General features: G+C 50.6%; 1 protein-coding gene across 56 annotated transcripts in view, besides 15 other annotated features; it reads left to right on the top strand.

Moving 5' to 3' along the window:
- The window catches only part of SEMA4D (semaphorin 4D), a 137327-nt gene that overhangs the window by 63862 nt on the left and 46742 nt on the right, over positions 1-26723 (top strand). For 18 of the 56 annotated variants that reach the window (NR_163888.1, XM_047422620.1, NM_001142287.2 and 15 more), the window contains 2 exons: positions 15815-15889; positions 16134-16196. The exons of 19 other annotated variants lie outside the window; for them this stretch is intronic. The gene's annotated coding sequence lies outside the window, so the exon portion shown is untranslated. Of the gene's footprint in view, positions 1-6491; positions 9777-15814; positions 15890-16133; positions 16197-26723 lie in introns of those variants that run through there. 19 more of the 56 variants (NR_163884.1, NR_163885.1, NM_001371202.1 and 16 more) reach the window with 3 other exon arrangements.
- Positions 1549-2330: an enhancer, noted in NCBI's record as "H3K27ac hESC enhancer chr9:92046837-92047618 (GRCh37/hg19 assembly coordinates)". NCBI's record gives its function as "activates a minimal SCP1, AML or CMV promoter by ChIP-STARR-seq in primed H9 embryonic stem cells {active_cell/tissue: H9 hESC(primed)}" and the evidence as "EXISTENCE:reporter gene assay evidence [ECO:0000049][PMID:30033119]".
- Positions 6479-6548: an enhancer, noted in NCBI's record as "active region_28543". NCBI's record gives its function as "activates an Ori minimal core promoter by ATAC-STARR-seq in GM12878 lymphoblastoid cells {active_cell/tissue: GM12878}" and the evidence as "EXISTENCE:reporter gene assay evidence [ECO:0000049][PMID:35858748]".
- Positions 7219-7298: an enhancer, noted in NCBI's record as "active region_28542". NCBI's record gives its function as "activates an Ori minimal core promoter by ATAC-STARR-seq in GM12878 lymphoblastoid cells {active_cell/tissue: GM12878}" and the evidence as "EXISTENCE:reporter gene assay evidence [ECO:0000049][PMID:35858748]".
- Positions 7409-7538: an enhancer, noted in NCBI's record as "active region_28541". NCBI's record gives its function as "activates an Ori minimal core promoter by ATAC-STARR-seq in GM12878 lymphoblastoid cells {active_cell/tissue: GM12878}" and the evidence as "EXISTENCE:reporter gene assay evidence [ECO:0000049][PMID:35858748]".
- Positions 7579-7678: an enhancer, noted in NCBI's record as "active region_28540". NCBI's record gives its function as "activates an Ori minimal core promoter by ATAC-STARR-seq in GM12878 lymphoblastoid cells {active_cell/tissue: GM12878}" and the evidence as "EXISTENCE:reporter gene assay evidence [ECO:0000049][PMID:35858748]".
- Positions 7739-7808: an enhancer, noted in NCBI's record as "active region_28539". NCBI's record gives its function as "activates an Ori minimal core promoter by ATAC-STARR-seq in GM12878 lymphoblastoid cells {active_cell/tissue: GM12878}" and the evidence as "EXISTENCE:reporter gene assay evidence [ECO:0000049][PMID:35858748]".
- Positions 7919-7988: an enhancer, noted in NCBI's record as "active region_28538". NCBI's record gives its function as "activates an Ori minimal core promoter by ATAC-STARR-seq in GM12878 lymphoblastoid cells {active_cell/tissue: GM12878}" and the evidence as "EXISTENCE:reporter gene assay evidence [ECO:0000049][PMID:35858748]".
- Positions 7995-8854: an enhancer, noted in NCBI's record as "H3K27ac-H3K4me1 hESC enhancer chr9:92040313-92041172 (GRCh37/hg19 assembly coordinates)". NCBI's record gives its function as "activates a minimal SCP1, AML or CMV promoter by ChIP-STARR-seq in primed H9 embryonic stem cells {active_cell/tissue: H9 hESC(primed)}" and the evidence as "EXISTENCE:reporter gene assay evidence [ECO:0000049][PMID:30033119]".
- Positions 9019-9078: an enhancer, noted in NCBI's record as "active region_28537". NCBI's record gives its function as "activates an Ori minimal core promoter by ATAC-STARR-seq in GM12878 lymphoblastoid cells {active_cell/tissue: GM12878}" and the evidence as "EXISTENCE:reporter gene assay evidence [ECO:0000049][PMID:35858748]".
- Positions 13513-13662: an enhancer, noted in NCBI's record as "active region_28536". NCBI's record gives its function as "activates an Ori minimal core promoter by ATAC-STARR-seq in GM12878 lymphoblastoid cells {active_cell/tissue: GM12878}" and the evidence as "EXISTENCE:reporter gene assay evidence [ECO:0000049][PMID:35858748]".
- Positions 20544-21044: an enhancer, noted in NCBI's record as "OCT4-NANOG-H3K27ac hESC enhancer chr9:92028123-92028623 (GRCh37/hg19 assembly coordinates)". NCBI's record gives its function as "activates a minimal SCP1, AML or CMV promoter by ChIP-STARR-seq in naive H9 embryonic stem cells {active_cell/tissue: H9 hESC(naive)}" and the evidence as "EXISTENCE:reporter gene assay evidence [ECO:0000049][PMID:30033119]".
- Positions 21045-21545: an enhancer, noted in NCBI's record as "OCT4-NANOG-H3K27ac hESC enhancer chr9:92027622-92028122 (GRCh37/hg19 assembly coordinates)". NCBI's record gives its function as "activates a minimal SCP1, AML or CMV promoter by ChIP-STARR-seq in naive H9 embryonic stem cells {active_cell/tissue: H9 hESC(naive)}" and the evidence as "EXISTENCE:reporter gene assay evidence [ECO:0000049][PMID:30033119]".
- Positions 21797-22298: an enhancer, noted in NCBI's record as "H3K4me1 hESC enhancer chr9:92026869-92027370 (GRCh37/hg19 assembly coordinates)". NCBI's record gives its function as "activates a minimal SCP1, AML or CMV promoter by ChIP-STARR-seq in naive H9 embryonic stem cells {active_cell/tissue: H9 hESC(naive)}" and the evidence as "EXISTENCE:reporter gene assay evidence [ECO:0000049][PMID:30033119]".
- Positions 22299-22801: an enhancer, noted in NCBI's record as "H3K4me1 hESC enhancer chr9:92026366-92026868 (GRCh37/hg19 assembly coordinates)". NCBI's record gives its function as "activates a minimal SCP1, AML or CMV promoter by ChIP-STARR-seq in naive H9 embryonic stem cells {active_cell/tissue: H9 hESC(naive)}" and the evidence as "EXISTENCE:reporter gene assay evidence [ECO:0000049][PMID:30033119]".
- Positions 23296-23455: an enhancer, noted in NCBI's record as "active region_28535". NCBI's record gives its function as "activates an Ori minimal core promoter by ATAC-STARR-seq in GM12878 lymphoblastoid cells {active_cell/tissue: GM12878}" and the evidence as "EXISTENCE:reporter gene assay evidence [ECO:0000049][PMID:35858748]".

The following is a 26723-nucleotide window of genomic DNA, read 5'->3' as shown; positions in this document are numbered from 1 at the left end:
CGCGTGCTGGATGGGGGCAGCATGCATCGTGGAGACAGGTGGATGGGCCTCACCTGGCTGGCAGCGGGTGACTGGGTAGACCTTGTCGCACATTACTGCTGCTCCGGGGCTGAGGTCTGGCTGGTCTTAAAACATGAACAGCTGGAGACAATGTGGTATGCGTGGTCCACGTCACTTGGCATTCCTGGTGTGCTCCATGTGTCACAGCATCTCTCCCCAGAGCGGGGCAGTCCGTGCATGCCAAGTGCTATGTGTGAGTCATGCACAGATTCCTGCCCACGTCTGCATGGGGGCTTCTGCAGCTCATCATAGCATCCATGTCACCCAGTCCAGAGGGGAGTGGTGGCGCTCTGGCTGGAGCTGCCCAGTGTGACCCACACTTAGTGCGGAGCTACTGGGGTATGCTGGTACCAGCATCCAGAGGCTTTGAGAGATACTGTCTGAGCCCCGGGACAATCTGCACCTAGGGCCATGCTCTTGTGTGTAATGGGACAGCAGAGGGCTTTGTGTCTCCCTGTTGCCCCCGGACCCTGTGACCCTCTGGACTTCTGCCCTGGGTGGTATCCACCCTGTACTTGGGCAGAACCTGATTGCTTCTATCAGAAGCCCATGCTCGGCTACATGCAGGGGTGGGAGGTCCCTCCCAGAGGGGGTTAAGCGAAATGCCAAGAGTTGGATGCATCTGACCTACTGTGCCTGTGCACAGTCCCTCTCTAGGACACATACCGTGGGCTCAGAAGGCCGTAGCATGTGGCACCAGCTGTCTTTACAGTCTGCAGTGGCTGCTGGTTGGACAGAGGTCATGGGAGCCCCTCTCTGCTGATTGGAGAGCCCTCCCTGCCGATTGGAGACCCCTCCCCACTATCAAGGACTCCGTCAGTGCTGACCATGCTGCAGTGGCCCACCGACCGCCTGGCCCCCCTGGAAGTGAGCAAGTCCCCTGGTGGCCCCACCCTCAGTCCGTCTGCTGCCGGCTGCTGTCTCTGCAGTTGCACTCATGGGGGACTCGTGGCAGCCTCAGGGGGTCACTGCTACATCCATGCCTCTATAGCAGGGGCATGCATACATCCGTGCTCCAGCCTGCTATAGACAGTGAGGTGAGAAGTCCCTGTGAAGAGCTGGCTTTTGCCCTGTGCCCAGGATGCACCAGCAGCACTTGGCAAGTCCTAGAGCCAGTTCTGCCACGTTCCCAACCATTGTGCACACCCGAAGACGCTCTTGTGTTCTCACTATGGTAACAGAGGTCCCCTTCAGGTTGTCCTTATAAAGGTGGGGTCACTTTGAGGACATGACTGGCTGCAGAAGAGATTTCTGGCCCTTGTGAATAGTGCTGTCGTGAATATGAGTGTACACGTCTCTTTGAGACTTCTTTGTGTACATACCCAGAGTGGAATCTCAGGAACACATGGTTATTCTAAAGTTTTAAGGGACCGTCATGATTCCCACAGTGGCTACACTGTATTGCATTCCCACAGCAAAGTGCAAGAGTTCCAGCTTCTCCACATCCTCACCAACACTTGTATTCCATTTTTGTTTGTTTGTTTTTTGCTTTTTTTTTGGTAGTGGCCACCCTGATTGGTGTGAGGCGGTTGGGAGGTTGTTTTTGCTTTTTAACCTCATTTTCATATGGGTATTAAGTATCATTTGCCTGCAGCACCAAATCTGTTTTTATCATTGAGGGCCTGCAAATCCCCACGGGGTGTGCCCCACTGCACTGGTGACCAGAGATAGAGACAGGGCACTCAGAGGAGGAAGAGCCATGCAGCCAGTGGTTTTATTGCTGCCCTTACGACAGAGTGCTGGAGGGCGCCCCTCACACTAGCCTCAGGCAGTTTTAGGACCTTACTGTGGCCGCCCTGATCATCCTGAATTTTCAGATCTCAGCTCCCAACTCCCCAGGGTCCTGTCCCCAGATCTCCAGGCTTAGTCAGGGTTACAGTTCCACTATCTAGTAAAAATGACCCAATCCATTCTGTGGTAGTACACTTATATAATACTACTTATATTAGTGGTTAACATTTATTGTGCCAAGCAGTGTTATAAATAATCCAAGTACCTTTTGTGGCCAACTCTGTCTTATGGATGGAAGCCAAGGGGCAGAGGGTTGAGTGGCCATTCCAGGGCTGCATAGCTGGTAAGGGTGGGCCCAGAGGGTGCAGCTGGGCCACCAGGCTCCTGTGCCATGTAAATATGCCTCTCCTGGGGGAACAGATGGACTGGTCAGGGCTTGTCATGGCAGAGCAGCACAGAAGGGAAGGTACACTGAGGTATGGACACAGAGAGATGAGGATAGCATAGATGAACCAGAGCTCGTATTGGGGCCTTGACTGTATGGATCCCAGTCTGGCCAAGGGAGGGGCTGGGAACGTGTCCTTGAGGAGGCGGGAATGTGCTCTGGGGGCTTTAGGGCCACCTTCTTTTTTGCTGAGGTGAAACCATCAAAAGAGAGAATCTTGCTGGGTACAGTGGCTCACACCTGTAATCACAGGGCTTTGGGAGGCCAAGGTGGGAGGATCACTTGAGCCTAGGAATTCAAAGCCAGCCTGGGCAACATAGCAAGACCCCATCTCTACAAAAAAATAAAAAGATAGCTGAGCATGATGGCTCACGCCTGTAGTCCTAGCTACTCAGGAGGCTGAGGTGGGAGGATCACTTGAGCCCAGGAGCTCAAGGCTGCAGTGAGCTATGATTGCACCGTTGCATTGCAGCCTTAGTGACAGGGTGAGACCCTGTCTCCAAAAAACAAAAGAGAATCTAGGGAAACTGCTCTTGTTTGGGAGAACAATACTGAAAAATGCCTCCAGTAAAAAAATTTGGAAGATACAGGAAAATTCAAAGAAGACATTGAAAGTGCCCCTAAAATTCCACCTCCCAGAATTAGTTCTGGCATTTTGGTGTCCCTCCTCCTGGAGGTTGCTCTACCTGCATTTGCAGGTGGTGTTCTAGCCAGCCCTGGGTGTGCCCCGGGTGGCTCACCCGCAGGAGCAGGAGCAGGAGCCGCCAGGGTTAGGAGTCAGCCTGGGAGTGAGCTTGGAACGTGCCAGTCAGGCCATTCCCTGGGTGTGACCTTTTATGACTGGGTTTTTTACATGAGTAAGCTTGCACTTAAGTGCTGTTTTATCTTCTCCTCTTTGCATTTAATAGAATGTTTATCTGTATTTGTCAATAAACATCGACTTGTGTGGATTGTACTGCCGGCATAGCATGCTATAATATTATTGTTAATTTAACCTGTTTCTGATGGGTGCCTATTTGTTTTTTGGTATTTTTCCCTCAAGATGGAGTCTCGCTCTGTCGCCCAGGCTGGAATGCAGTGGCATGATCTTGGCTCACTGCAGCCTCCGCCTCCCGGGTTCAAGCGATTCTCCTGCCTCAGCCTCTTGAGTAGCTGGGATTACAGGCGCGAGCCACCACACCCAGCTAATTTTTGTATTTTTAGTAGAGATGGGGTTTTGCCATGTAGGCCATCCTGATCTTGAACTCCTGACCTCAGGTGATCTGCCCGCCTTGGCCTCCCAAAGTGCTGGGATTACAGGCTTGGGCCACCACGCTCGGCCCATCTGATGGTGCATATTTGGATGACAGATTTTTACTGATAAGGCACCATGGAGATAAACATCCCTGGGCAGGGCATCTCTCTGAGCTTGCGGGGTTGCTGAGGCCTTGGAAATACACCTGTTAGACTCTGTAGACATCAGAGGCCAGTTTCCCCCTCCCCAGTAACTGTGGCTGGTCCTCTTCCCTGCCTGGGAAGATGTTGGCTGTTTGTCCTCCGAGCCTGGCTGCTGCCCCTCTGCAGGCTCCTGCCCTGGGTGGGTTTTGCGTCTGGACAATAGCCACCCCTAGAGAGGCAGTCACAGTCAGTTGTCTCCCTCTGAAGCTTGGAGGGCATCTAACTCACCCAGTAAGTGGGGTCCAGGCCCCTTGACACAGTGTGTATGTGGTTGGGGAGCTGTCTGGAGGGTTTGCTCTTTGGCTGCTGGGGAGCAGGGACAGATGCTTGGAGTTTCTGGCCCCAAGTGGGAGAGTATTGCTGAAAACTTCCTCCTAGTTCTGAAATTTTGTGGTGTATGTTCTGACCGTCCAGTAATTCCCTTCCCTGTGTGAAATATTTCCAGAACTTTCTGTCATTTGCAGATGCTTTGGGCATGACTTGCCATCCCAGCCTGAGGCCCGTCCTCCTCAGCCAGGCTTGTGACCGCTCCCACCCACAGAGCTGCCCGTCAGGGTTAAGCAGCAGCTTTGGAGGCTTTGATACAGGTTTTAGGGTTACAGAGTTTTTAATGAGGTTTTCTTGTTATGTGCATTTTCAGAGTGCTACTATTTGGCAAAGCTTGACCCCAAACAGAAACCCACAGCTGCATTCTTCTGAGCACGTAACTGGCCACTCCATCCACCATGTAGACTTCAGTTTGCAAACCGCGTAATTTCTTTCTTGTGCTGCTTTTTAAAGCTAGCAAAAAATTATTGCACCATGCGCTCTGGAATGGGCTGTTAGCAGCGTGCACTTCTCTGGAACAGCATGCTTCCCGGGCTTCTGGAGGTCGGGTACGTCCCTCGGCCACTGTCACCCGGCTGGGACCCAGGAACCTGCTCTTCATGAAGTGCTCACCAGGCTCCAAGCTTGAGATGAACTTGAGATTCTGTTAAGAAACCGATTTGAATGAGCACAGCTCAGCCCAGGTGTGCTCAGGAACTTGCTTTGGCCCACCTGAGTTTGTCTCTGATGCAGGGCGGGGAACTTTGCTTTCCATGCCTGTAGTGTCAGACACTGCCCCCTACCCCCCAACACTGATATGACTTCCGGAAGTTTCCAAGCCTTGCTTTCTTAGCTGCAAAAGAGGGATGGTGACAGTGTTGCTGGGTGACCTGAATTACTGTCTTCACAGCCCCCTCTCCTGGCCCCAAGAAGGCGCTCACCCTGATGGGGATGTCGATGCTCTCCTAGATGTCGTCTGCTTTGGGTGAAGCTAGGATTAGAGGCTTCTTGGCATCCAGAGTCAGCCGAGGTGGCCGCCGGCCTGGTACAACTCCTGGTGGTGGGTCTGGGAGGGCTGACTGGGCAGGGAGGTTAGGAGAGCCAGGCTACATGCCACTTCTGTCCAGTGCCCATGCCCAGGCTGCCCCGTGGGTAACCTGCATTTGGGGAAGGAGCTGGGGGCTGTGCTTGACTCTTCGCACTCTTGGACGAACCGCTTAGTGGGCCTGTGACCCAAGGCCAGGAGTGAGCGTGGAAGGGGAGACCCCCCCCACAGGGACCTAGGTCCATCCTGTCTGTCTTCTGGACCTCTGGAGCAGTCATGCGGAGCCTGCAGTGGTGTGGTTGGCAGGGTCCAGGGGCCCTGAGGGACCCAGGGGGCAGAGCCCTAGAGAAGCTTTGCGCTGGCTGCTGACAAGGTGGAGATGGGGACCTAGTGGCTGCTTTCTTGCGTATTTCCCTATGGCCAGCCCATACTGGGATCTGGTTTTTTGCTCTTCTGGGGGATGTCTGTCACCCTGCCCCTGGAGGTGGGTTGGCCGTGTGCACCATGGTCCTGTAGGTGGGGCCGGGGGCCATTGCCCTGGTGCAGGAGAAAGCAGTCTTGGAGACAGTGGGCCAGGCCGTGTGCAGAGTGGCTGGGAGCTGGCCTGCGCTGCATGACCTTGAGCAGGCTCCGTGACCTTGAGCAGGCTCCATGCCTGTGCCTCATTCTCCTCCTGCCTGTGATGAAGGGGCCGGTTCCTCGTGGTTCTGAGTTCCTGTGACTGGCTATTTGTAGCCCTGAGATCCACGCTGGCTGCAATGGAGGATGTGTGCCTCCCCTCTGCTGCCGCCTGGCACCCTCTCTGGTGGCTGGGGCATGGCACTGGGCTCTTGGCAGGTCATATGGGTCTTGCCCTCGTCCTTCCAGTTCAGGTTCCCCTGCAGGGCCAGGGACTGTGTTTGGGCAGTGCTGGGCAGCATCGAATGTGAGGCCCAGAAGGAAGCTGCATGGGCCATGGCGGGGGCCGCCTGGAGCTGGTGGCCAGTGGTGGTCCTCAACTTGTGACCACTGAGATGGTTGGGAAGAGCCTGCCCAGGGAATTGTTCAGTGTGGGGGCCGTATCCCTCCATGACAGGTCAGCGGTGGTCAGACGGACAGCAGCAGGCCCTCAGTGACACACGCAGGTGAGAAGGGCCTGGGTGTTGGAGCCAGCGTCTCAGGTCAGCCCTAAGCCACCCACGCCTACAGGGCAGAGTCCACCCCTCAGGGCCAGGCGGGCCCTCCACAGGTGGTCACCCTAGTGGTGAGTGCATCCCTAGGGGAAACACACCTCCTTCCTGGGCCCTACGAGAGACAGAACAATGGCCAGGTAGCCCCCCTCCTGGAGCTCTCAGACCTGGAAGGTGACTGTGTGGGGGGCAATGAGTGACAGTGACTCACCAGCTCCTCCCCACGTGTGACCCGCCACGTCGCACACATTCTGAATCATCTGGAAGGTGACACACTGCTCGGAAAATGAGAACCCCCACATGCTGTAGAGCTGGCTGCTTGCTGGAAGGACAGACACCGGGATGGGACTTTGCAGGGCCGTAGCCCCGTAGGCTTGGGCACTTTGAAGTCAGCCCCACTAAATGCCACTTGCAGGTGCTGCTGACCGGGGGGTGGAGAGGGGGTTCCAGGTTAATAGGACCAGGTTCCTTTTAGCAGTGCAGGGAAACGTGAGTGAGATCTGTTCCCATTTGGGTGCTGCAGAGTGAATCCTGAAATATTGGGGGTTTGCTTGACTCCTTCAGTGGGGAATTCCTACCTGGGCTCCTTTCACACTGAGAGGACGGCAGGGGTTACTCCCCAGGCCCCGGCTGTCTCAGGGAGGCAGGGGCTGTGGTTTTCTGATACAGGCATCTCACCAGGGTCACACCGCCTCCTTAGTCCATATGCACTTGACCCTCTTCTGGCATCTACGGCTATTTGGGGTTGGATGGACCTGAGTGACTGACTGTATCATTTTAGGCTGCCCCCCTCTTCTGACTCCCCAGGAAGGGAATTGAGGGACTGCCTTACTTGGGCTGGAAGCATCTGGAAGAGAGGAGAAGAAATATCATTTCCCTTGCACTGCAAGGGAGGATGGATTTAGTGAGTTGAACGTGGGGATTGACTATAATTCATTAGAGTAGAGTGTATCTACCTCTGACCCAATACTGGGCTTGTGACATTCAGCTAGAGGGTCATTTGGTGATTTGGAAATAGAAATTGATTGAAATTCTGGCCATCCATATGGGCAGTAATTGTCTTAGTGGCAAAGGGGGAACTCGCTGGGGACAGACCTAGGGCACAGGTGTGGCCTGCAGTGTTTGCTCCTTACCATCGTAGCCGGGTGTTGTGGTTGTCACATTGTCTATTTTTAGCACTTCTGTGATGCTTGTCACCTGCCCACAGTGACCACTTGGTCTACTGTTGATGGGAAGTGAGTTGGTTTGGTTTGAATATGGTTAAGATGTAGGAGAGTCTTAAAATAATTATGAGCTTAGTTGAAGTTGCTTCCTCTGATACTGAGGTTGAGGGAGGTTCTTGTGGCCTCTGAGGGGCTTTGGGGGCTGGTAGATCAGGTCGAGGCTGCGTGCACCTGGTGTCTGCGCACGACGGTAAGACAGCATTTAAGGTCAGTACTGAGACGGGAACTGACAGCCCCAGATGATGAAATGGCGAACATCCTTTTGTTTCCCGCCTGGAGTGAGGCAAAGCTGGGGCCTTCGCAGAGCTCTGGCTGGAGCTTGTGGTTCTCTGGTGGGTTTGCCACGCTGTTGCTAAGGCTGGCAAAAGCCATGTCCTGGGGAGGAGGCCCGGATAGTGAGGGAGAGCCTCCTGTTGACTAGGTTCCCTGTTGACTCTATTCTGGTTACGAGCTGTGGTCATGGTGGTCTAACTTTGTAATTGTAGTGTATATATTTAAAGAATCACTAAAGATGAAAGCAAGGAAAGTGGCATTTTGTGGTTTTGAGACTTAAAAAAGAAATTCCCACTTGGACTGGGGCCTGTCCTGAGGCTCCTGGGCCTATCCCCTCATGCCGTGCCTGCACCGTGGCAGAACGAGCAGGCCTCTGGCGCCTTTGCAGCTGGGCTGAGTCTGAGGGCAGCAGGGGAGGAGGATCCCGGCCTGGAGGAGGTCCAGTCCCCTGGAGAAACTGCATGCGCTCCCCCTGCGGACACTTGGTGGGGACTAGGGATGCCTCTGAGTGCAGGGCATCTCCCCAGGCTGCCTGTAGTCCTGAACCAGTTCAGGGTTCTGGATGGTTCTGGCAGATTCTGTGATGCCTTCACTGCTGGCAGTTGGCAAAGAGAAGGAGCCATTGTTTCTGAAGGGCCTGTCTCTGCCCTGGTGTCCCTGGAGGAGGAAGCTGTTGGCTCAGGGCAGGTGGAGCCTCAGCACAGCTGGAGAGCACTGTGCCAGTCATGGTCCTGGGGTCACTGCAGGACCCGGGAGGGCATCTCACCTCTCCCAGTGGCTCTAGACGGTTGTTGCATTTTTCTGAGCCTGTTTTTCCTCTTCCCAGCAGTGCTGTAAAACCTGTCTCCAGTGGGGCACACTGGGGGAGGGGGTGGATGTACAGCCAGTGGGGCCACAGGGTCAGGCTTTCAGGACTCCTGCCCCTGATGTCAAAGCAGCGGGCTTGTAGGCTGTCCTTGCCCAGGCCTCTTGAACACTGGGATTCAGTCAGATGTCAGATACGAGGGTTAGTGAGGAGCCTGCCAGGGAGCTATGAACATGGGAGGTGTGAGCAGCCCCTTCCCAGATGTCAGGGCCACGTGCTGCTTCCAGGTGACTCACAGCCTGACCCTCGCAGAACCCAGTAGAACAGTCACTTCCTCACCCTTGCCTTATGGCGGGTGTTAGTTATTCTTCCTGCTTACATTTTCCCCCAGGAGACCCCGTGAATGAAGACCAGCTGAGGGGAGGCATCTGTTCCCAGAGGGCAGGTCTGAGGTTGCCCTGGCCTTCGAGCTGAGCCACAGTGGACAGCCAGGATTTCAGTGGGTGGGTGTCAAGGATGGACTCAGGACATACCTAGGGGAGGTGGCAAGGCCTGGGTAACACTGGGCAAGGCAGGAAATCTGGTGGATGCAGGCCAGTTCTCGGTCCTGGCTGCCAGTTACATGGGCTGCTCTAAAACCAGACAGACCCTGGCCTCACTAGGGAGCTGCTAAATCAGAATATCTGGGGGGCTGGGTCTAGATAGGTGGTGTATTCTTGGTGTTCCACAGAAAGAGGGGAAAATGCACACCTAGCAAGTTGTAGGGCTTCCTTTGGGGACACTAGATTGGGGGCTGAGACCTGCCTCTGCAAGCCCTGGAGAGAAACAGGAGGCTTTGGAGCAAGAGAATAGTGTGATGCGAGCTGCCTTGTAAGAAATAAGCATGCCTTGTAAGTCCCCTCTGTGTGTAGGGGGACTGAAGGCCGGGGGCACAGGGGCCGTAAGAAGGTGGAGCTCTTAGAATGTGGTGTCATTCCCTTACAGGTAGCGGGAGCCAGGTGGAGGCCTCACAGGAGGGATGGTGGTATGAACCGTGGGTGTGAGGGAAGTGGGGGACATTGGGCAGAGGTGGGGGAGGGCAGGAAGAGGGTGCCCAGGAGACCAAAGCCAGGCAGGACACAGTGAGGAAGGCAATTAGTAGGGTTCGAGAAGGGTCCTGGTCAGAGAAAGGAGACACTCAGGAATTAAGGGTGCAAGGTTCTGAAAAAAAAGAGCTCGAAGGAATTTGGAGTCGGGACGGAAGCATCTTGGATTTAAATCATTTCAGACTCATTGAGCTGAGGTAAGTAGTAAAAGCTAATGTTGTGGTCGTGGGCTTTAGAAAGAAACTTCAATTTAGGAATAAATCACAGAGTAAACCATCATGGTTTAATGGAGATTGACGTTGATCTAGGAAAACCTATTTGCCCCTGCACTGCTCGTTTCTGTGGGATTCTGATTGGACCTTTCCGCACCTTGGTGTGGGCCGCCATTGTGGGGATAGTGCCATTTTGTTGGTTGTTTGTAACATTGTGTTTAACGTCCATGCCTTACAGTCCTCATTTGTGCAGTCTCATCTCTGGTGGTAGGGCTGTGTCTTACCCTCTCCCAGGGAAGTAGCTGTGGGGAGGAGGAGGTGCTGAGGGAGTAGTGGAGGGAGGGGAGTTGCTGAGGGAGTAGCTGGGGAAGGTGAAGTACTGAGGGAGTAGCTGAGAAAGGGGAGGTGCTGAGGGAGTAGCTGAGGGAGGAGAGGTACTGAGGGAGTAGGGAGGGAGGGGAGGTGCTGAGGAAGTAGCTGAGGGGGTGGAGGTGCTGAGGGAGTGGAGGTGCTGAGGGAGTAGCTGAGGGAAGGGAGGTACTGAGGGAGTAGTGGAGGGAGAGGAGGTGCTGAGGGAATAGCTGAGGGAGGGGAGGTGCTGAGGGAGTGGAGGTGCTGAGGGAGTAGCTGAGGGAGGGGAGGTGCTGAGGGATTAGTGGAGGGAGGGGAGGCACTGAGGGAGTAGCTGAGGGAGGGGAGGTGCTGAGGTAATAGCCGGGGGAGGTGAAGTACTGAGGGAGTAGCAGAGGGAGGGGAGGTGCTAAGGAAGTATCTGAGGGATAGGAAGGGGCAGAGGCCTGTTCTGGGTCACACAGCTGGGATGTGGCAGCATGGGAATCTGAACCAGGCAAGCTGGCCTCACAGCCGGCACTGCAGCTATCACAATATGCTTCCTCCATAGTTGGGGGAGAAACTAAGAAGCAATTAAGGTTTCTAATAGACTTGAAAGAAGCATAAAAAATGTTTGAGCTGGCCGGACACAGTGGCTCATGCCTATAATCCCAGCACTTTGAGAGGCCGAGGTGGACGGATCACCGAGGTTGGGAGTTTGAGACCAGCCTGACCAACATGGAGAAACCCTGTGTGTACGAAAAATACAAAATTAGCCAGGCATGGTGGCACATGCCTGTAATCCCAACTACTTGGGAGGCTGAGGCAGGAGAATCACTTGAACCCGGAAGGTGGAGATTGCAGTGAGCCGAGATCACGCCATTGCACTCCAGCCTGGGCAACAAGAGTGAAACTCCATCTCAATTTAAAAAAAAAAAAAAAAAGTTTGAGCTAGGTGACTTGTATTTTATAGCAAATATAGTATTACTTTGCAAAAATGACTTCAGCTCAACTAACTGAAAGTTTTAGAAGAGAGTCAAATGAAAATAAATCATGGAAGTTATGTGTGATTATTTCCCAGTTAAAGGAAGCAAACCTGTCAGCCTGATCAGTAGAAGCCCTGAGCCTCTGTTTAAGAAAGGCAAGAGAAGAACACATTGCTGACACATTGCTGACAGTCTCTAAAATGGTTATACAGGTTGTAACGACTACTAAAGATCCCAGCACTTGTGTCTTCTGTACTAACTTTATTAAGAGATTTCATCAAAATGGAGATTTTCAAGAACAGCAGACAGACATGATGGAACCATGGAATCTCCCCCGTGCCCATCTCCCAGTGCCCTCTGTGTGGTGCCTAGACCTCTGTAACATCACTGTGAACATTCCAGACAGAAAAGATTCTTGGCCGGGTACTGCTGGTGGTTAAAGAAAAATGAATTGTAAGTGGAGAGTTGGAAAGGATCGGAATGTCCCACATTATGATATTTAATTATGGAATATTGCACAGCCGTGACAGGCTGCTGAGGGCACCACGTAATAAACGGCACGGGGATGCGCACGCATGGTGCTCGGGGCAGGGACACACAGGACCTGGACGTGACCCACGCGGGCCCTCTTCCTCTACCAGCCTGTAGGCTCCAGCCTCTCTCTTGGACTTCAGGTCTCCTCTTGCATGGCTCCCAGCCTGCCTGTCCCACTTCCCATGTTACAGAGCCAGCAGGGCCCCCCAACCGTCCTGTGCGGTTGCTGTGGCCTGCCCTCCCCAAGCCAGAAAGCAGGGGCTGGGGGTCTACAGTCTATATCTGACTCTCACCTTCACCCCACACCCTCCAGTAGTGACTGTTGAGTGAATGAGTCAGAGTTTCTTAGAATGAGGAATTCACCAAAATGCCAGAAAGACCAGAACTGTATGTCATGTCTGTCTGCTGTTCTTAAAAATTTCCATTTTGATGAAATCTTCCTCTTAGTAAAGTTAGTACAGGAGACACCCGAGCTGGGATCTTACTTTAACCAGCGTTATAACCTGTGTAACCTTTTTAGAGATCGTCAGCAATGTGTTCTCTTGCCTTTCTTGAATTTTTCAAATTTTCTACAATTACTGTATTTTACTTTTGATATCAGATTTAAAATATTTTAGTTAGAAAACCACATGATTAAGGAAGGAATTCGAATAGTTCTAAAGAATCAAAATCATGAAAAATGAAGCACACTCCTTTTGCAGATCAAATTCTCTCTATAGGCATTGCTGCCAGCAGGTTCTTGATTAAATTGTGATCTCTTGAATCATCCTTCTGATGAGCCTGTGTGCACACCCACACACACACACACACGCACACACACGGTCACACACCATGTGCCTGCACAGACGGAAACATACTACTCACATTTTTGGGAACCTTACTTTTTACTGAACAGCGCCCTTTCATACAATTGCAGCTTTATTCTTTTTAACAGTTGCATAGTATTCCATCCTCTGGAATGTGCAATAATTTGTATAGAAAACGTTCTATGCTGTATCTGTGTGTACCCATGCACATAGACGCACACACACTGGTGGACTTCTGGGTGTCTTTGGAGTTTACCTATTGAATAGCCTCGTTCCAGTCATATTGCACACATGGGGTATATCCATACTGAATTCTTGGTAGAGGACTGTTGGATCAGAGATTCTGGATGTAGCTTCTTGGCAGGTGTTGCCCAGCAGGGTGCGGAAACATGTCCTCCGGGCCCTGTCTGTGTACTTTGTAGCCAGCCTTTCTCATGGGTGCCCTGCTCAGCAGAGTGTAATGGTATTGTGTTGTAATATGCATGCCTACCCCATCGAGGTGTGTGCTGCAGTGCCAATTTCAGCAGAAGGTCCCCCATTGCTCTCTGCCTCCGGAACTTCCTTACCTGCTTCTGGGCCAGGATGAGGAGATTGAGCAGAAGGGGCTCACGGCCCTCTCCCCGTCCACAGCCACAGCAGTGCTGCCTGTCACAGTGTTCCTAAGCCCTGCTTCCAGGAGTCTATGTGGACCTGGGGAAGCCCCGATCCCCCGTGTGTGCAGGAGGAGGCTGGTGGAGCCCACAGTCCCTGGCAGTAGGGGTTGTTAGATGTGCTAATAGCTGCACCCTGCTTGTTATATCTCTCTGAGTCTTCTTAGCTAGGCAGATATAACTGGCTTCATTTCACAAGTGGTAAGAATGATAGTTAATGCCTCCCAGTGCTTAAACAGCATCGGGCACCTAGGAAAGCACTAGGAAGCATTAACTGATTAGTCATGGATCCTCATAACCAAATGAGACAGGCAGTATTAGTATGCCCACTTTTTGGATAAGGAAACAGAGGCCCAGAGAGGCTCAGTAACTTCCCTCAGGAACACACAACTTGGAGAAGCCAGGACTGGAACCCAGGTTCCTCTGATTGCAGAGCCCCTTGCTCTTGCTTCATCCCACTTGTCTTCTCTGTGTGCTGAAGAACACCAGGTCCCTGCTTAGGGAGTACGCCCAGAAGGCGAGGTCATGTCTGCAGGATGGAGGCCAGATGAAGGCGCTGCCAGTGGCTCTGTCCTTCTGCCATCAGCGACCACTAAATACCTGTTCGCAAGGCCTGGGCGTTGGAGCCCCACACTCTCCTGCACTAGAGGGGGTGCACCAGGAGAGGATGTGAAGGCCATGAGAGGGAAATGCTTCTCTCTCCTAATTAATTTCATTGCTTTTTGATGAACAGGCCATTGGATTCTTTTTACCTGTGCTGTCAGGAGTTGGGAGATATGAGTTAAAACAGCATGATGAGTAATTACATGAGAAGTGTGGGTTTGCATTTTTAAGCCAGGTAACTCATAACTGTGGGGTTGCACGCTGAGAAAGAAGAAACAAACCGTGTATGTGTAGGGTGAAGGCAACGCGGGGTTGGGGCCTGGGCAATTCACTAAGAAAGGAAGTGTGTTCCCACTCAGGAACCTTGGGGCTGGCAGCTGTTTTTGGAGGCTAGATATGAACCCCCAGCTGGGAGGCAGGACACAAGGATGCTGGTGTTCAGGTGGAGTTGTTGGAGGCAATTGAGATGAGAACCCAGACCTGCTGACATTTGTTGTTGGATGCCACAAAATTACCGTGAATATGATACGTGTCTTAAACCACAGGATGAGCAGTTCTGGGTCTTTATTAAAGTGACAAAGGCTTATTTCATTTCTAAAAAATAGAAGTTTTTCAGGTGTTTTTTTGTTTTTTTTGAGACGGAGTCTTTTTCTGTCACCCAGGTCAGAGTGCAATGGCGCGATCTTGGCTCACTCCAACCTCCACCTCCTGAGTTCAAGCGATTCTCCTGCCTCAGCCTCCCAAGTAGCTGGGATGACAGGTGCGCACCACCACACCCAGCTAATTTTTGTATTTTTTTTTGATAGAGACGGGGTTTTGCCTTGTTGGTCAAGCTGGTCTTGAACTCCTGACCTCAAGTGATCCACCCGCCTCGGCCTCCTAAAGTGTTGGGATTACAGGCGTGAGCCACAGTGCCTGGCCAGTTTTTTAGTTTTAAAATCCGTGATATTCACATTATTTACCTAAGCCTCTTATTTATGTATGAATCTCTGCCTTTGTTGCCTTCAACTGTTTTTTGGCACAGTCTCTGGGCGGCCACTGTCCCCTCTCCCTCCCGTGTGACAGGAAGGCCTCGTGGAAACAAGTGATGTGGCACTTTGCAGGTGCCCACAGTAGCGTGGACTTTCCCTCTTTGCTTGTCCAGCAGTTGTGCCCAAATGCTCAGCCCTGCCCCAGGAGTTTCAACAGGAAATGTCGGTGTCAGGTCCTGGGTGGATGTGGCCTTTTCCAGGATTCTCATAGCTGCTCATGTGAACCTACTTTTGCTTATAAAATTGGCCGTAAGAGCCATCCACTGCTGGAGGGAAGACCCCAGTATCAGTCTCTGGAAGCTCCACTACGGTGGGGCCTGATGAATCGTGATCGTTTCTGATCACTGCCCTCGCGGTTCATTTGCTAACCTCAGGTGCCTGCTCAGGGTTCAGAGGATGTGTCGGCCCCGAGGGGTGGGGGGACCGGATGTTGTGTGCCTGGATGGCCGTGTCTAAGGTTCTGCTTCCTGGGGAGGGGTGTACAGGGCGTCTGTAGAGGAGGGAGCCGTCCAGTGAGGGGCCTGGGTGGGAGGGACGGGGGCTCCTGTAGAGGAGGGAGAGCCGCCTCCTTCCCAGCTGGCTTCAAAAAAAGAGCCGTGATCATATAAGCTCTGAAAGCAAAAGGCAAACAAAAAAGAAACCCTCCTCACCACAGAATATGCTGGAGTCTGATTCCAAGGTTTAACAATTACGTGGCTCCTGTGTTAATAGAATCATGGAGGGATCAGCGTCGGCTCCTGAGCGTCTGCAGTCCTGCACGTGGCTCTGGTTTTGCGATTCTGATTCTCTTGATCTAATTGTTGGTGCTGCTACTGCACCCCACGATCCCTGTCTTGAGACTGATCTCCCACACTGCAAAGGAGTGACAGCCATGCTATGGAACCTTGCCACACCACGGTGGACACCGTTCTGTTTGGCTGAAAACCAGCCATCCAAAAATAAAGGAAGATGAACAGCTCTTTAGTGCTTGTAATTATGCCATATGTGTTTCTGCTTTTTCCTTCTTTGCCTCATGAAGATGAATTTTAAAGGATACATATCTGGAGCTAATAGACAATTAGATAGTACTTTTTTGGTTCACAGACTCTGCTAACTGGAATGGCTTATTGTGCAAGAAAGTACACCTGGTCGGGTCCTGGGGCTCATCTCTAGCACCAGGTAACGGGCTGGGCTGCCCTTCCCCTCTGTTCGTGGGTGGGTGGTTGCACAGCTCCTCCCTCCTGTCTGCCCCAGTGCTGTCTTCCCCAGCACATGCAAGCCAAGCTGATCCTGCGTCTAAGGAAGTCTAGAAGGTTTAAACTCACAATAATTTGTTTTCAGTGCCTTTCTAGGAGTGTTGCTGAGTTTAAGTGGATGCACAGTTTAAGGGCTTAAATAGCCTTGTTTCCCATTATTTTCACAGCAAAGATTTCTGAAGACGTCTTTCTAGAAATGACTGGAAAGTTTCAAGAGGCATAAGATACAGGTAAAACCACTTTATTCATGATCTGTAATTTCAGTTGAGCAGAGTTGATAATGTGTAGAGGCCTCAGTTGGATCTGGCAGGTGGTTGGTTGCTTGGTCCCTTGGTCCCTGATATCCTGTGGGGCAAAGCTTCAGACTTGGCTGCCATCCCTTGGGCCCGGCATGGGGAGGTGGGTGCTGGGCACCCACAGTGATTGTCTGTCTCTGTTCTTGCTCTGCCACTGCTTGTCCCAGCTCCCCCTATTCTTCCCTGCTCTCTCGGCCTCTCCTCCCACTGGGTCTTGGGATTGTGGCAGCTCCGCGGCTGATGGCCCCTGGTGCCTGCACCAGAAAGCTTACTCTCTTCTTTTGGAGGGTGCAGGAAGGTGGCTGGTAAGGTGTGGTGTAATAAGAGGGCTCTCCAGGTCACCCTCCTCAGATTTGGGCCATTTTGTGTTTAATCTTAATTTTGGTCCGTTCCAAGCCATGCATTTTCAGTTTCAGAGGAGAAGGAAATAACCAGCTTAATTTGTGAAAACAAAAGTCAAACCCCATCTTTCCTTCATCATTTTCATATTACTCAAGTATCATGAATGAGCCCCCACAAGGTTTTTTATTCTGCTGGCTTTTAAAGAGTCCTGCTGCCAGCTTAGACCTTCATGGTTCCTATGCATGGGACCGTGATGAGAGCACATCTTGCCAATTAGATAGGGCGGCTTTAATTAGCACAGCATCACTGCCAGGGAGACAGCACTTTCTGTGCTTATTGGCTAGATATATTATCTGGTCCATTGGGGTGGGAGCTCTGTTTTCTTACATTTGTTAAATCACTTTATTTATTAGGAATTGGCACTTGTCTTACAAGTATTTTTTGCTGGTTTCTTTTTCCTCCCTTAAGTCATTTGTCTTTGAGTTTTGTTTTTTGTCAGTCTCTTCATAAAAAATATTTTGGAATCTTTAGTTATAAGGTAATTGAAAGCAGGGACAATTTTATCCATTCTGTGCTGTATTAAGCAGTAAGAGAATTCCATTGTGAGAGCCCAGGAGGACTGGCTCCTTCTGTTATTTTTTACTTTGCTGTCACAAAAAGCACGAAGTATATATGGGGAAAGGAAGCCACTTCTCATTTTTTTATGTAAATAAAAAAAAGGTCAAAGGTATGGCAAGAAATAGTCACCTAAACCAAGAAATGGATTAGCATGTGAAAAATCGCATTATGCACAGCTCCATACACTAATGTGGTGGGTTTCAATTTTTGGTCTACTGACTTGGGTGTAGCATGGGTGAAACATAATCTCTTCATGAATTAAATTTTTTTACAGAAGCAATATAAAAGTATGATTCATTTTTTAAAAAACAAAGAAAACTTGAGTTCCTGGTTGTTCTCCTCCTCCTCCTCCTTATAAGCGACCACTGTTAACAGTTGGCTGTCTGTCCACGTTCATGTGTGTGCATTTGTGTCTGGTATCTGTGTGTCCCTGTGTGTAGGAGTGTATGTTCTTGTGAGTCTGTGCCTGGTGTTTGTGCATGTCCCTGTGTGTCCGTGGCTGTGTGTGTATGTGTTGTGTGTAGACTGACGCATCCTCTGTTGACACAGGTGGGTCGCGCCTCGCGTGTTGTTGCTCTACACATGTCTTCGGTGTGATGGGCTCACAGGCAGTTCGTGTAGACCAGCTTTAGTCTTTGTAATGGTGTTGTCTTCCTTGCCTGACTGTTAACCAGCCCCTCATTGAGGAGCATCCCCTTTGGTTGCACATTTTACTGTCACGTCATGGCAGGGTGGTCTTCCCACGTGTCGCTTTGCACGCCTGTAGCTGTGCACACATAGTTTGCTGCCCAAGAGTTGCCAGGGGATCAGAGTGTGCAGACATCTGGATAGTTCAGAATTGTACCCAGAAGTCCTTTACCCCACACCTTCCCAGCACTAACTAGCAGCAGACTTTTAAATTTCAGCTTGCTTTGTGGACAATAATGGGTATTTTATTTTAATTTACATTTGGTTTGTGGAGTTAAGCACCCTTGGAATTATTTTTGAAGGTAGGACAGTTTTATAAGAGGTGGAAAATTAAGAATACAAATAAAGTCCACTTAAAGCAAAACTTTTCTATATAATGTCTTTTATGTAATTTTGCCCTCCCTGCAAGCCAAGCTCTGGGGGACCGAAGCACCAGTTTTAGTGTCATATCAAAGGCGCTACCAGTGTAAATGGTGACCGACCTTTGGCATTCTGGAAGCATCTCTGCTGGCTGGGTTCTGTCCGGTGCTGAGCTCTGCTGGGTGCCAGCAGCCCCTGAATTGCCACTGTCTCAGTCAGCTCAGGCTGCTCAAACAAAATGTCATAGACTGGGTGACATAAAAACAGACATTTATTTATCCATTCCGGAGGCTGGGAAGTCGAAGATCAAGGCGCTGGCAGATTTGGTGTCTGGTGAAGGCCCTCCTCCTGGTTCATAGACAGCGTCTTCTCACATGGTTGAGGGGTGAGGGAGCTCTCTGGGACTCCTTTTATAGGGGCACTACTTCCATGAAGACTCTGCCCTCCTGACCCAGTCACCTCCCAAAGGCTCCCTCTCCAGAAACCATCACATTGGTGGTTAGGATTTCAACATCTGAATTTGGGGGTAATCCAGACATTCAGACCATAGTATCACCTTTGAAAGACATGACACCAGGCATCCCTTTAGGGCCGCAGGGTTAACACAGTCCTCCCTGAGGGGCTGGCCAGCCACTTCCCAGAACAACCCCACACTGTGCCTGGGAGCCAGTGTCCAGTAGGGAGACCGTTGGCCCCCTTAGAGATGGCAGCAGGTCAACATTAGGCCAGTGGAAGATGATTATTTTTGCTAGCACTAACCTGCTTGGGCCCAAGGATGCATGCACACACCACACACCCTCCAGAAAAGACAGTATTGTCTGTATCCAAGTCTGAAGAGTAGAGTGATGTCACACAAATGGCATGACAGTCTGCATCTCTACCATGCTGGCTGCTGCTTAGAGGGGTCCCCACCCTTCCTCTGAAGGGCCCTGTTCGTGCCGCCACTCTGCGTGCATCCTCATAGCGCTTGTCCTGCCGACATTGCTGATAGATGGATGCCTGTGTTCTTCACTCCCACCGCCCTCTGTCTCTCTCCCTGGGTTTCCCATTCTGTACATGCTGCACCCAGGGGTTTGGGAAGTGGGTGAGGGTTAGAGCATGTCTGAGATATCCTGGCTGTGGCTCGCTTGCCCCTGCAGGGATGTGGCTTGAGGGTGAAGTAGACTGGTCCTGGCAGCTGCCCTGCTGGGTGAGTCCGGCCCAACACAGGTCCAGGGCTAGGCATGTCCCTGCAGAGCTGGAGTGTTGGTCTCCAGGGATCCATTTTAATTCTAGGAAAACTGAAGTTGGAACAATAAACTGTTTATTATGCTTGTGACCTAGACAGCTCCTGAAACCCATTCCTGATTCCTGATGGGATAAGGCCATTTTATCCTCAGTTTGCAAGGCAGTGACATCAGCATCCTAACTGGAGGTGGGAGAGGGGTTTCTGGGGGCAGAGGACATCCCAGGGTGGGGATACTAGGTGGCCAGGTACTGGCAGGGCATGGTTGGTGAGGGCTGTGGTGTCTTCTGTTTCCCAGCACCTGGCTGCCTGCTTCCAGCTGGGAGGGAAGATGTGGTGAGTGCGTGTCCTCCACTGTCCTGGTTGTAGGGCCTGGAGAGACTCTAAGCTTTACCTGCCCCATCTGGGCAAACCCCTGAGATAAGAAATAAGCCAGAACACGCTCCCCCAGGCAGTAGTTTGCATGCAGTGAGGTCAGGGGTCCAGGTAATGACTGCCTATGTTAGATTGGCCAGTCCACAGCTGTCACCAGAGATCCCCTTTCAGTTTCCCTGGGATGCCAGCCAGGGCATTTTAATGCCAGTGTTGCATCCTGTTGCTGGCAGAAGCACTGACACCTTCCATGTGGTAGTGACTGGTGTCCCCTCTGTAATCTACCCTAGCTGCCAGACAGCTGATCCCAGGAAGGAGCCGAGACACGGGTGACTGGACAGTCCCCAGATGGCATTTTGGTTCATGGTTCCTGCCTTACAGGACACTTGCCAGCAGTCACTATTCACATCTAAGATGCAACACTAGATCAGAATGTATGTTCTGCAACAGAGTGACACATGCACAGATGCACATATACACACATGCACACACAGATGCGCACATACATGTCTGCGTACACATACACAGATGCGCACACAGATGCATGCACGTATGTGCACATATAGCTGTGCACACATACATGTATATGCATACACAGATACATATGTATGGATATATGTACACAGGCAGACATGCACAGGTGCACACATACATTATACACACACATACACAGATGCCCATGCATACACATATGTATACACATGCAGAGATCCAAGCAGATGCACATGCACTCACACAGGTGTACATATGTATGCACACAGACATACACATGCATGTGCAGACATGCAGACATACACATGTACACAACACACCTGTACAGATGTGTACAAATGTACAAACATGGATAGGTGCACATATCTATGCGGGTTCATGTGCACACATACAGAAATACAGATGCACATGCGTGCACATACACAGATGCATACACACAGATGTACATGTGTCCACATATATATATACATACACGCAGACATGTATGCACAGTGGTTGCTGGGTACTCCCATTTTCTCTGCTGTGATCTCCTGCCTTGATTTGAAGACCCCTGGGGGTGGGAGAGCTGCCTTCTGACAAGTACTGACAGGCAAAAGAGTGTGGGGCTCAGAGCCCCCTTGGAGTTCCATTCTGCTGACATTTAAAGTGGGCTCGTGCACCCTCATGAACAGCCCCAATTACGTGTAAGTAATGAGAGTGACATTTCACAACCCTGTCTTTCTAATGGGCTCCTGTGTCAAGTCATTCTTTCTGAATGCAAAGGGCAGCAATTTCACACTGTCAGGGCAAAATGCACATGCATACAGCTCAGCTCCCAGCGGGATACCTTTGCTTCTCAGAAATGGCGAAGAAAGCCAGCAAAATGGCCTTTTTCTCCTTTTGTTTTAATTTAACTATTTAGAGTGAGGTCCTTAATGTAACACCCATCAATGATTATGGAGCCACTGTTCTGAAAGAACTCGCAGGGCCGGCAGATCTGTGTGAGTTGTGGTGTGTGCTTTGCTTAAAGCAACTTTAAAATTATATGAAACAATGCATTCTTGTTGAAAAAGGAAAAAAAAACCCTCCAGTGTCACAAAGAAAATGTGCAGCCCCCTCCCCCTCCCTGGGAGGAGCAGTATGTGGCATGGGGTCTGTCCTGACCTTTGGCTACTCATGTGGACTGTTTTAAAGGCCATTTGAGAAGAGCAGCAGGGCCTGATTTATGCCATCGAGAATCTGGTGTCTGCTGATGAGATCAATACACTGCAGACCTGGATATAAATCCGTGCCAGGAAGCCTGGTGGTCAATCATTGTTCTCAGGGCAGGGCCTGGAAGCCAGGTGGGGGTGCCCGTGCCCTGCTGAGCTCTACATGGCAGTGTCTGGATTGGTCCAAGGTAAAAGCAATTAAGAAAAAGGTTTCTTTTCAACATAACCAGTTTGAGTAACCGCATAAACAGCACCAGTCCTGACAGTCCTTCGTAACCATTTAAAGCCACACAGGAGAACCTGCTGGCTTCCACCTGGGCACCTGCTGACACTCCTGGAAATACCTTCTCTCAGCCACATTCGTTTGGGGATGGCTTTGCCATCCCTGGGTTTGGTCGTGGATACTATTACAAGATTTGTTTTCAATCTCTCTTCACTGGCGATTTTGTTTTGTGGAACTTTCTACTCTTGGCTCCTTACCTTTGTCCTCTCCGGGTCTGGCCCTAGTCTTCTCACTGGGATGTTTGTGTTTCTCCTGTTCTACCTCAACTAAGTCAGGGAGGCGTTTTTAGGTCCTTAGGCCAAGTGCTATGAAAACAATACCACAGAGGGGGATGGAGTGTGGGGGTCAGGGGAGGCAAAGGGTGACTGTGGGATGGAGCCAGCCACCAGCAGCTCCTGGGGGTAGAACAGTCTGGAAGAGGGAGCAGCAAGTGCCAAGGCTGCAAGGCAGCCTGAGACGGGTGGGGTGCATCGGAGGGAGGGGGCAGGAGTGGAGTGGAAGAGGCTGGCCACATTAGGTGCTGGCATTCTGCATTAAATCCTGTGCCACTGCCCAGCACTTCGGCTTTGCGGTGAACAATCCTATTTTTACAGCGTGTTTGAGCCCCCAGATCTGGCTGCCCTAGGGACCCAGGCTCTGCACAGAGTCAGCTCACTCTTCCCGTCCTTGGGAGCCTCCCTTCAGGGGGTCATGTCTTCTGCTTCTGGATCCACTGGGCTGCTTTCCCCAGGCTGTGAGGAACCAGAACATGGATGTCTTTTTAAGGTTAATTCATTTTATGAGAGTAATTAATGCAGGTAATTTTAAAGTGAAGTAGTTCTTCTTTAACTTGAGAGAGGAAGCAGCACTTGCTTGTCTTGTCCCTTTGTCCCTTCCCTGCTGCCCTGAGACACTGAGTTTCAACTATTTTCACTATTTTGGTATTTTCCTTCAAATTAGATATGCCTACATTTCCTGACTTTCCCATCTTAGATGTTGTGTTATGATGGAAGACAGGATTGTGTTCTCTGACTCTTGTCCCCTCCCTTTCCCTCTCTTTCTTCCCCCAGACCTCCAGTGGAGTTAGTTGTAATTTTTGTAATGGGGGCTATGCAACTGGGCAGTGATAAGTACACTCTGGTTACATTTCCATTCATGGGTCACTCTTGCTTCCCTGGGGTTAATAACTTCATTTTCTAATCTGTGTATCTGTTCTAATTCATCTTCAGACTCTTTGCCAGAGCCTTAAAATGCATTTCTGAGAACAAAGCCACAGATGCAATCAGTAATCCACTGTGCCTTCTCCTGCCCCGCCCCATTGGAGCCTCTGCCTGCTCCCCAGCTCCCCGCTCTCTCTGCCTCTCCTCCACTCGCTTCCTAAGAAAGAAGACCTGGGAAGCAGCTCCCTTGTTTTGGTGGAGCAAATCCTGCAGTAGCTTTCTGAGAAAGAAGCTGAGGGAGGTAAAACATTTGAGAACTTGTAGGTTTGAAGCAGTGTTCTGTACTGCACTCATACTGATTGATAATTTGACTAGATGGGGAATTCTAGGTATGAAGTCATCTTCCCTGGGATTCAAAGGCGTTGCTTTGCTGCCTCCAGTGGGGCACTCAGAGGTAATTTCTTTGTGGCCTGTTTCTTTCTGGAAGCCTCATGTAACCCTCCTTTCAGGATGATGTGTCTGGTGTGGGCGGGTTCCTTTCATTCACTGTGCTCCTGGGCGCTGTTATTCCGAAAGCTCAGGTCCTTCTGTTCTAGTTATTTTCTTTTTATTACTGCTTTAATAATTCCTCATTTTTTTTCCCGGAGCTCCTGCCAGTTCATGTGGGACTCCTGAATGGATCGTCCAGTTGTCTGTTCCCCTTTTTTTCATCTCTGCTACGTGTGTAACTTCTAGGAAACCTCTTTAGTTTACTTTCCAGCCTTTCATTTCTTTCACCACATTTTACTTTTAAGCTTGCTTCCATTTTCCAGGTTGTGTTTCTTTGTGACTTCTTCCAGGCCCTGGCTCAACTCTGGTCTGAAATTCAAATCAGTCAGCTCTGGTGGTGTGTGACAGGGTTGGTGGTAAACACAGCCACTGTTAAAAATTAAATATGTGGACTTAAAATGAAACAAATTATATTTAAAAAGGTAAAATACTCAGAACTCATTCCTTTCTAGTATCGTGTGCATTCTACTGTTATCTGTGTGGTTGCAGTTACTCGCCTCTTGTATCTGAGATGGCAGTGCCATGTGCTGGGTGCTGCTGTGCACCTCTCCCCAGTTCAGCGGCATCATTCTGGGAGCTCGAAAGCAGCATTTACACCACAGAAATCAGCGTGTGCTGCAAGCTGGGCACCCCCCACCTTACCCCACCGCCCACCCCCACTGCCCACCCCGTGGAGAGCCAGTTGTTACAGCTTGCCAGCACACCGTTGGTTACTGCTCACCTATTAATAGATTCCAAAGTCACCTCCCTCCTCCATTTTTATCCTTAAAGTTCATATCCTTTTAGAGTCATTTCATTGGGTTTCCAGAGAGAGTTGAAATAAATCTCTGTGTTCTCCCATCTCCTGGCTCTGGACTCTTAGCCTGGCCTGACCCCAGCATGCTTATTGGGATACGCAGAGGACTGATTGCAGTTGGGGGATCTAGATAGGAATTAGATCCCATGTAAACCATATCTCTCCAACAGTGATCCAGCATCTTTGGTATTTGACCCGAAATGAACTGGGCCTTGTGGGTCTTGCGTCTCTGCTCCTAGCCCTCCGGTGTGGGCACTTACTTCCTTAATGTGTCCAGGCCATGAACCCTCACAGAGGCTGCTTTTGTGACTGGCAAGGAACTCCTAGGCCTGTTCCTTGTTGTTACTGATTTTAATAGACTTTATTTTTTAGATCAACTTTAGGTTCATAGAAAAATTGAGAAGGTGGTACAGAGATTTCCCATATGCTCCTTCCCCACACATGCACAGCCCCCTCATTTTCAGAATCCCCCCACAGAGTGGTGCCTTTGCTACAGTCGGTGAACCCACATAGGTACCTTATCACCCGACATCTGTATCTGGACATTAGGATTGCCAGTTGGTGTTGTACATTCTGTAGGCTCGGACAAATGCATACTGACATGTGTCCACCGTGGTAGTATCCCTGCCAGCCTAGTTTCCCTGCCCTAAAAACCCTCTCTCTCCCCAGCCCCTGGGAACCACTGATCTTTTTACTGTCTTCATGGTTTTGCCTTTCCCAGAATGTCCTATAGTTGGGATCATGCAGTATGTACTTCTACAGATTGGCTTCTTTCTCTTTAATGATAAGCTTTTAAAGTTCCTCTGTGTCTTTTCATGGCCTAATGGCTTATTTATTTTTAATGCTGAGTAACGTTCCCCTGTCTGGATGTAGCGGTTTGTATACCCACTCGCCTGCCCCTGGGCTGTCTCCACGGCTGGCTTCCTGTGTGGTTGGCACGCCTTACCTCTGCAGGCTCCGCATCCGTCTTCAGAGCGCCTTCTCCCATCCCATGGCAGCTCATTGCTGTTTCTTTTGTGTGTATGGACCTTTGCCCAGCTGGGGGACATGCCACGAGAGAGGTTGTTTCTGCTTTATCCTTGCTGTGCACAGCTTGGCACTGGCTGGGACCTGGGTCTGGGTGTGGCTTGGAGGAGCCAATGTCAGTTCATTGGGTTTCACTGGGCTGGGACTGCAGCACATGGACCAGGCCACTGGTGTCCTTGCTGCATGCATGACAAGAACCCTTTCCAAGGCCCTGCCTGCCGCAGGCCTGCCTCCTCCTCCTCCTCTAGTGGCGCGGGAGCCAGTGTGAAGTCTCTCACAATGCGAGTGTGCAGTCCTCTTCTGCTTTAAGGGATGGGGCAGCCTGGCCACGTTGTCACTTCTGGCTCTCACTGGCTGTATGATGTTTGTCACATGGAACGGGAGAAAGGACGCATCCTTAAAATGCCAGGGGATCATTGCTCCAAAAGGAGGGGTAGCTGGTTTTTAATGGGAGCTTTTCTCTTGAGGGACTGTGGATAGCTTGTCACCACTGTTACCATCCTTTCTTATGTCTGTCATTGCATGCAATGAGGACTGAGAAGAGCAAGGGCAGCAGGACCCTGGAGGGGCATGGGATGTTTGTGGGTGCCAGGCCCTGGGCTGGTTGCTTCCACGCAGCCCCACTCCAGGGCGTGGGTTCTGTGGGGCCAGGACTTGTTTGTTCCAGGCTTAGCAGGAGCTCCATTCGTATTTGTCAGAGCAATAAACATTATTATTATCAGATGCTAATTGATTAGTTATATAGTAATATGATTTAGCAGATAATTCTCACAACTTTGTAGGCCAAGTAGGTCAACTTCTGTTTTGCAAACAAAAAGTGACACCATTATGGCAAGGAGCTGCAAATGTGCCTGGAATTCAGAAGATCTGAACCTATAATTTATTGAGTCTTCTTCATTGGGAGCCTATGTAGAAACCATTACTGGTTTGGGAGCTCAAAGTGGAGCAGCTTTTGGGAGCCACTCCTAATTACCAATCAGTTATACAGAGGAAAAGCCTCTCAGATGAATGAGACTGTGCAGTGGGATTTAGACCGGCAACTTCAGAACAGACACATCTGGAAATGTTCTAAGTGGTGTTGACAGGCAGGAGAGACAGCCGTTACACAGCCATGCAGAGGGGCCGAGCCCTGTGTGTTCAGGTGTAGCCAGGACAGTGCAGTGGAGGGAGTGTGGATGAGGAGCAGTTGGATGGAGGTAGAGTAGGGTTGTCCATGGCCTTGCTGGCCATGATGAAAATGTGGGCCTTATTCTGAGTGATGAGAAGGTGTTGAAACATTTCACATGGGGAAAGGATATGATCTGGATTTATGATAAGAGCATGACTTTGGCCACTGCTACTTTGTGGCAGTGGACTGGAGGGAGGTTGTGTCAGTTTGGAAT

Source organism: Homo sapiens, chromosome 9 (genome assembly GCF_000001405.40).
Source record: "Homo sapiens chromosome 9, GRCh38.p14 Primary Assembly".
NCBI classification, from domain to species: Eukaryota; Metazoa; Chordata; class Mammalia; order Primates; family Hominidae; genus Homo; species Homo sapiens.
Note: the sequence above shows the minus strand (reverse complement) of the source record. Positions and strands in the feature narration are given on the sequence as shown.